At 42.2% G+C, this 8,403-nt stretch overlaps 1 annotated feature.

Annotated features, from left to right (window-relative positions):
* Positions 8,228-8,297: a silencer, noted in NCBI's record as "silent region_12578". NCBI's record gives its function as "represses an Ori minimal core promoter by ATAC-STARR-seq in GM12878 lymphoblastoid cells {active_cell/tissue: GM12878}" and the evidence as "EXISTENCE:reporter gene assay evidence [ECO:0000049][PMID:35858748]".

Here is an 8,403-nt window from a genome sequence, read left to right as displayed (position 1 = left end):
TTTGCAACCTATGGGGCCCCTTCAACGGGACCTCCCTTCCCCTTTGAGGCGATTCCTCAAGATTGGCCTATAGTCATTATTGACTTAAAGGACTGCTTTTATACTATTCCCCTTGTAGAACAGGACAGAGAAAAATTGGCATTTACAATACCAGTTATCAGTAATGAGAGGCCAGCTCGCTGATTTCATTGGAAAGTACTTCCTCAAGGGATGCTGTTCAGTCCTACCATGTGTCAGTATCATGTAAATCAGGCTTTGCTCCCCAGTAGAAAAGAATTTCCTAGTTGCAAGATTATTCATTTTATGGATGATATTTTCCTAGCAGCCCCAACAGAGCCAGTGCTTTTAAGTTTATATGCCTCTGTCATAAAGAATACACAGTTAAGAGGTTTAATCATAGCACCTGAAAAAGTACAATTGGAAATATCTTGGATACATACTAACTTCTGGTCAGTAAGACCTCAAAAGGTTAAATACTAGCGATTTACACACCTTAAATGATTATCAAAAGTTACTGGGCAATATTAATTGACTTCACCCCACGTTGGGCATAACTACTGATAAGTTACAAAACTGTTTTCTATCCTAAAGGGCAATACAGCCCTAGACTCTCCCAGGTATTTGACTCCTGCAGCAAAAAGGGAAATTGAGGAAATAGAGCAAGCTATTTCTCAGAGGCAACTATATCACATAGACACCCCGATAGTCAGTTCAATTGTTTGTTTTTCCTACTAAACATTCCCCAACAGTATTAATAGGAGAGATGACCCCAGGACTACGCTTCCTAGAATGGGTTTTTTGCTCACATACCGAGACTAAAACACTATCTTCCTATATCCAGCTAGTTAGTAAAGTCATCTATACAGGCCGCAGATAGTGCAATCAGTTGCTAGGTTATGATGTCATAAGAATTCCTTTGAGTAAAAGGCAATTTGGATCAGTATTGCCCCTATCTCTAGATCTTCAGATAGCAATCTCTGATTACACAGGCCATATAGAGCATGCCCTTCCTGCTGACAACGTAATTCAGTTCTTATCTCGTACTCCTGTAGTTGTGCCTACAAAAGTAGTTCACTCCCCCATACCCCAACACTTTAACACTTTTTACTGATGGCTCTGGTAAAAACAGAAAAGCGCCTGTTTGGTGGAGACTGCATAATTTCCTCACTCATTCTGGATTTACTAGCACTCAGAGAGCTGAGGTTGGAGCCTTAATATTGCCCCTGGAGAACTTTTCCACTCTGCCTATCAATATTAGTGACTCTGCTTACTCTGTTTATTTATTGCAAAACCTTAAAACAGCCCTCATTAAGTCCACTCTCAAGCTCACCCTGTGTGCACTTTTTCTTCAACTTCAGCAATTGCTGGATCAACGTACACATCCTATTTTTATCACACATATTCGAGCCCACAGCTCACTGCCTGGCCCACTGGCTTATGGCAATGAACAAGCAGACCTGCAAGTTATGATGTCACTGCTTCACCAAGCCATGCAGTTGCGTCAATTTTTCCACCAAAATTGAAGGAACTTAACTGAACAATTTCAACTTACCCAAAGACTAGCTAAACAAATTATCCTGCAATGCCCGGATTGCCAGCTCACAGGCATGTCCCCTCCTTCAACAGGCGTTAACCCTAGAGGACTAGAACCTAATCAGTTATGGCAAACAGATGTTACTCACGTCCCTGAATTTGGAAAACTAAGATATGTACAAGTATCCATTGATACCTATTCTCACCTAATTAGCACAATGCTCTTCCTGGAAAGTCCACCTGATATGTTATTAAACTCTTCTCTTAACTTTTGCATTTATGGGGCGGCCCACAAAAATTAAAACTGATAATGGTCTGGCTCATGCCAGCTCACAATTTCAACAATTTTGTCACACGTGGAACATCCAGCATTCCACAGGCATCCCGTATAACCCCCAAGGACAGGCCATAGTAGAACGTGTCCACTCTTAAAAATATGCTCAAAAAACAAAAAAGGGGGAGTATGAGTAAGGACCCTGCAACACTACTAGCAAAAGCCTTATTTACCCTTAATTTCTTAAATTTAAATGATAAATTTCAATCAGCTATAGAAAAGCACTTTGCTAAAACCTCTCAAGACATAAAACCCACAGTTTTATGGAAAGATGTAAACAGTAATGTATGGTGTGGTCCAAATGAGTTGCCAACATGGGGAAGAGGATATGGTTGTGTTCACATCACCTCAGGTCCTCTTTGGATTCCAGCACAACGCATCAAACCTTAACATGGTGTGGCTAGGACCCAACCTGGTACCAGAAATGAAGGAAATGTCCCTGCAGGACCCACAGCCCTGGATGATGCAGCTTCCTCAGACGACACAAGCCCCAGACATTACCTGGGGGATGCTGAAGAAGACAACTCAGGAGGCTGAACGAATCCTGCTCTGGACACAAACACCATTCACTCCAGATAATTTATTCCTTACTATGCTTTATTAACCTTGTTTAATTCCCTCACTCTGCCTGCAACCAGTACCTGCTACACTCTATTGGGCCCATCTTCTAAATCTGCTTTTCTTCCACCCTATTACCTGGGTGGACACCCCCTTCCCAGCCTCTAATAACGTAACTGCTTGGCTGGAAGGGGTTAACATACCCCCAGTGGGGTTCCTTAGTAAGGGCACACACTGAACTGAGGTGGCAAGTAACACTACATGTCACTCCTTGATTGGAAAAGAATGTTACTGATTATATTCACGTTTATCTTATGTTATTTACTAATTCTAGGATGCAAAGCCGAAATACAAGCAGTGACCACTACACCTGAAAAACCTGTTGCTGCACATCTGTACTCTTCAATTAACAAAAGCTGATGCAAAAAACAGAAAAGGGGGAGATGTAGGAGATTGGTCAGGGTGGTGGGAGAAATTATAGTAAAGACACAAACCTTCTTGAAAGGCCAGGAGGTTTTACAAAAGCTTTGGAAGGAAATTATGGCTGAAGGCAGCCAAATTGTCTCATCTGGAGCCTGAGAGCAAAGGGCAGATAACAAGGGAATGTAAAGAAACTTATCTAGATAAATTTGTCTACTCCTGTCTCCAGAAACCAACCTTTAATCATTTGCATGCAGGACTGCTCTCTACTCGGGGGGTCAACAATGTTTATTACCCACAAATTGTGTTTGCTCCAAGCCTTTGTCATTAAATCTGTACCAAACAAATGCGAGGGCTGCCGGCTTAGGGGAACTGCTAATTCTCTTCGGCCCCTAGTGCTGGCAGTCCCCTATCCTGCTCTTTCACTGGATATCTGTATCTGAGTACTCCTTTCATCCGTCGCTTGGGCAGAGTCTGCAGGACAGACTCGGCAAGCCTTCCCAGTAGCTAGGACAACAGGCATGCACCAAAAATGCCTAGATAATTTTTATTTTTTTTGTAGAGATGGGGTTTCACTATGTTGTCCAGGCTGATCTCAAACTCCTGTGTTCAAGCAATCTTCCTGCCTTGGCCTCCCAAAGTGCTGGGAATACAGGCATGAGCCACCCACCCAGCCTATCACAACTCCTAACTAGGTTAATTCAAACCCCCACGCTAAAGACCTAACAGAAGGAAAAGTGTGCCCATTTCTACACAAAACCCATTTCCCTGGGCCTCTACTATCCTACACAAGATGTCCAACTTTCACCAACACTTATGAAGCAAGAGATAAATGACATACTCCCAAGAGACAAAGCAATCTTCAGAACCAAACACAGATGTCAGAGCTATGTGATACAGAATTTCAAATAACTAATATGGTAAAAGGTCTAACAGTAAAAGTAGACAATATGCAAGATCAAAAGTGCAATCTCAGTAGAGAGATGGAAGCTATGAGAACCAAATGGAACTGGTCAAAATAAGAAACACACTAATGGCCAGGTGCGGTGGCTCACGCCTGTAATTCCAGCACTTTGGGAGGCCGAGGCGGGCAGATCACGAGGTCAGGAGATTGAGACCATCCTGGCTAACGCGGTGAAACCCCGTCTCTACTAAAAATACAAAAAATCAGCCGGGCATGGTGGCGGGAGCCTGTAGTCCCACCTACTCAGGAGGCTGAGGCAGGAGAATGGTGTGAACCCGGGAGGCAGAGCTTGCAGTGAGCCGAGATTGCGCCACTGCACGCCTGGAGGACAGAGCGAGACTCTGTCTCAAAAAAAAAAAAAAAAAAGAAACACACTAACAGAGATGCAGAGATGAAGAGTGCCTCATGGAGCTCGTCAGTGGATTTGACACAGCCAAGGAGAGAATGAATGAACTCAAAGATAGGTCAAGAGAAATTATTCAAACTGAAACACTGGGGAAAAAGGGTGAAGGGAAAAAAAACCGTCAAAAGAGAACATCCAAGAGTTGTGGGACAATATCAAACACTCAAACATATTATAGTTAGATTCCCAGAAGAAAGGAGAGAGAACAGGAAAAGAAACATTTGAAGAATTAAAGGCTGAGAACTTTTCAACATTAAGGACAGAGCAAACCACAAAATCCAAGAAGCTCAGAGAACATGCAGAATAAACTCATATATATATATATATATATATATATATATATATATATACACACACACATATAAAATTAGATATACTCGAAATGCTAAAACAAAAGAAAATCTTAAAGGCAGCAAGGAAAAAGAAGACATTGCATACAGAGGAAGCTAAGAATTATGGAGACGTCAGAAACTATGCAAGCTAGAAGCCAATGGAGTGACCTTATTGCTGATGCTGATAGGGGAAAAACACATACACACACAAAAACTGCTCACCCAAAATTCCGGAATCCTATACCCAAATGAAAGTGTCTTTCAAAATAAAGGAGAAATAAACCCTGTTTCAGATAAAGAAAAACGGAATTCATTGCTCCTTCTACAAGATACTAAAGGAAGTTTTTCAGGCAAAAGGAATATGATACCAGAAAAAAACCTGGGTCTACACAATGAAATTAAGAGCACTGGAAATTGAATGAAGGTAAGTACAATTAAAATCTTTTTTAAATTACCTTAGAAATAACTGAAGTGAGCTGGGCATGGGGCTCAAACTTGAAATCCCATCATTTTTGGGAGGCTGAAGCAGGAGGATCCCTTGAGGCCAGGAGTTGAAGGCCAGCCTGGGCAACAGCCCCAATACCTCCATCTCTACAATAGAGGGTCACAAAACTTTTTTTTTTTTTTTTTTTTTTTTATGTGGAGTCTCACTCTGTCACCCAGGCTGGAGTGCAATGGTGTGATCTCGGCTCACTGCAGTCTCCGCCTCCTGGGTTCAAGTGATTCTCCTGCCTCAGCCTCCTGAGTAGCTGGGATTACAGACCTGTGCCACTATGCCTGGCTAATTTTTGTATGTTTAGTAAAGACGGGGTTTCACCACTTTGGCCAAGCTGGTCTCGAACTCCTGGCCTCATGTAATCTGCCTGCCTCGGCCTCCCAAAGTGCTGGGATTACAGGTGTGAGCCACCACGTCCTGCCAATCTTTTTCTATAAAGGAGCAGATAGGCCGGGTGCGGTGGCTCATGCCTGTAATCCCAGGCACTTTGGGAGGCTGAGGCGGGCGGATCACCTGAGGTCGGGAGTTTGAGACCAGCCTGACCAACATGGCAAAACCCCGTCTCTACTAAAAATACAAAAAAATTAGCCAGGCATGGTGGCGGGCTAATCCCAGCTACTCGGGAGGCTGAGGCAGGAGAATCACGTGGACCTGGGAGGCGGAGGTTGCAGTGAGCTGCGATTGCGCCATTGCACTCCAGCCTGGGCAACAAGAGTGAAACTCCATCTCAAAAAAATACATACATACATACACACATAAAATAAATAAATACATAAAGGAGCAGATAATAAATATTTTAGGTTTTGTAGGCCATATCTCTGTTGCAACCACTGAACTCTACCGTTGCAGCATGAAAACAGCCATAGACAGTAGGTAAATGAATGAGCGTGACTCTGTTTCAGTAAAGGTTTATGGACACTGAGATTTAAATTCCATATAGTTTTAATGTGCTACAATTAAGTTGTGATTTTTCAACATTTATCAAGGTAAAAGCCATTCTTAGTTCATGAGCCGTGCAAAATCAGGCAGTAGAGTGGTTTTGGCTTGCAGGTGGGCAGACCATCTTTTTTGCTAACCGCCTGGTCTAAGGCAAGCATATTAGCAATGAATTGTGTACTTGCAGCACATGCAAAAATTTAAAATACTGATAAAATGAATCGTGGTATATTTCTAAGATGAAATTCTACTTAACAACAAAAACAAATGAACTATTGATTAATGCAACATGATTGCTTATAAAATAATTACGCTGAGTAAAAGAAGCCAGACAAAAAAGACTACATACTATATGATTCCGTCCATAAAAAATTCCAGAAAATGAAAACCAATCTATAGTGACAGGATGTAGATCAGTGGTTGTTTGCAAGTGGTTGGTGGGTAGAGGGGAGAAAGCAAGAGAAGGAAGGGATTTTAAAAAGTAAAATGTAGGACAACAGCAAGAAGAACAGGAGGGAAGAAATGGGAATTTATTGTAAGGTCTTTATATTATACATGAAGCGGGACATTTTTTGAAAGTAAATTCTGGCCCAAGCTTCACAACGACCACACAACTGTTTAGTCCTAGAGTTGTGGTGGTGGGAATGGGGTGGGGGTCACTGTTCCATCACTACCAAAAGCAAGAATCCAGCTGGCTGGATGACCAGCGCAGTAAACTGAGAAGGGAATAAATATCTCAAATTGCTTGAGCACGTTACTCTTAAACTGGGATGACTTAAATCTTCCTTCAGTGGGCACTAAGCATCTTTTAACCTCAATGATGATTTATTTCATTTTATTTATTTATTTTTTGAGATGGAGTCTCACTCCGTCTCTTAGGCTGGAGTGCAGTGGCGCAATCTTGGCTCACTGCAACCTCTGCCTCCCAGGTTCAAGCAATTCTCCTGCCTCAGCCTCCCAAGTAGCTGGGATTACAGGCAGGCACCACCATGCCCAGCTAATTTTTGTATTTTTAGTAGAGATGGGGTTTCACCATGTTGGTGAGGCTGGTCTTGAACTCCTGACCTCAAGTGATCTGCAGCCCTTCACCTCCCAAAGTGCTGGGATTACAGGCATGAGCCTCACAGATGATTTAGAACAAAGACTAGAAATGTTTTCAAACTTCTAGTATTAATAATTTTGCATTAAGGCATCTGTGTAAATGTGATACTTTAAATTCCTATAATGTTCAAGATAATTTCAAGAGCTTGGCACTGTGATTCACGCCTGTAATCCCAGAGCTTTGGGAGGCGAAGGCAGTTTGAGACCGGCCTGGGCAACATAGGGAGATTCCCCACCCCCTCTATAAAAACTAAAAAAACTAGCCAGGCATGGTAGTGTGTACCTACAGTCTCAGCTACTCGGGAGGCTGCAACAGGAGGCTAGCTTGAGCCCAGGAGCTTGAGGCTGCAGTGAGCTATGATCGCTATTGCACTCCAGTCTGGGTGATAGAGTGAGACTCTGTCTCAAAAAAAAAAAAAAGATAATTTTGAGAATTCTAACAGATTATTCTTGTACTAATTACAAATATGTATTTGAATAGATTTAGACTTTTGATTTTAAGATGAAATCTCGTTTGTATTGACACATTTGAAAGCACTCATGACTCAGTATTCTTATAAATGTATTACATTTACAAGAATTACACAAGGACTTGAAAGGCTTTGTTAGAAACCTGTGATACTTAGAAAAACGAATTGAATTTATAAATGCAGTTTCAAATGTTCAAAGGATTTTAATTAGCTTAGTTTATTAATGGGACCAAATAACTGATATAATTTACTAGATTTATGAATAGAACTGTAAAACTTGGCTGTGCGCGGTGGCTCACGCCTGTAATCCCAGCACTTTGAGAGGCTGAGGCGGGCGGATCACGAGGTCAGGAGTTTCATGGGCTGGAGGTCTCAGGATAATAAAGAACTGTTGTGGTTGGGGGTGGGAGGTGGAAGAGAGTCATCAAGCAACTGGAATTATGGGAACTTCAGCATGAAGACCTAGCACTAGAAATTCGGGAGGCCACAATCACAATATCAGGGATATAACCAAGGGAATGGATGTCTAATTGGAAAGAAAGGAATATCACTGAAGACGAGAAGGAAATCAGACCTGATAAGCCAGAGCGCTGCTTTAGATGAGTGGCCACTATTTCGCACAACTTAAGGGGGCACGGTTCACGTGAACGTCTACGTAAATGGCGCTCCCAGGCCTTGTGCAGTGCATAACCTGCGGACCCGTATGACATGAACCTGCTAGATCCCCAAGTACCCAAGAACTGATGACAGGAGTTCGTGTGGGGAGACGAGACAGGAGGTAAAAAAATAATCCTTGGTAAGCAAAAATTGGTCATAATTGTGGAGTATTTACTATATGCTTGGTGATGTTCTAAAC

Source organism: Homo sapiens, chromosome 20 (genome assembly GCF_000001405.40).
Source record: "Homo sapiens chromosome 20, GRCh38.p14 Primary Assembly".
Lineage (NCBI taxonomy): Eukaryota > Metazoa > Chordata > Mammalia > Primates > Hominidae > Homo > Homo sapiens.
The sequence above is the reverse complement of the archived record's forward strand: the minus strand, read 5'-3'. Positions and strand labels throughout refer to the sequence as shown.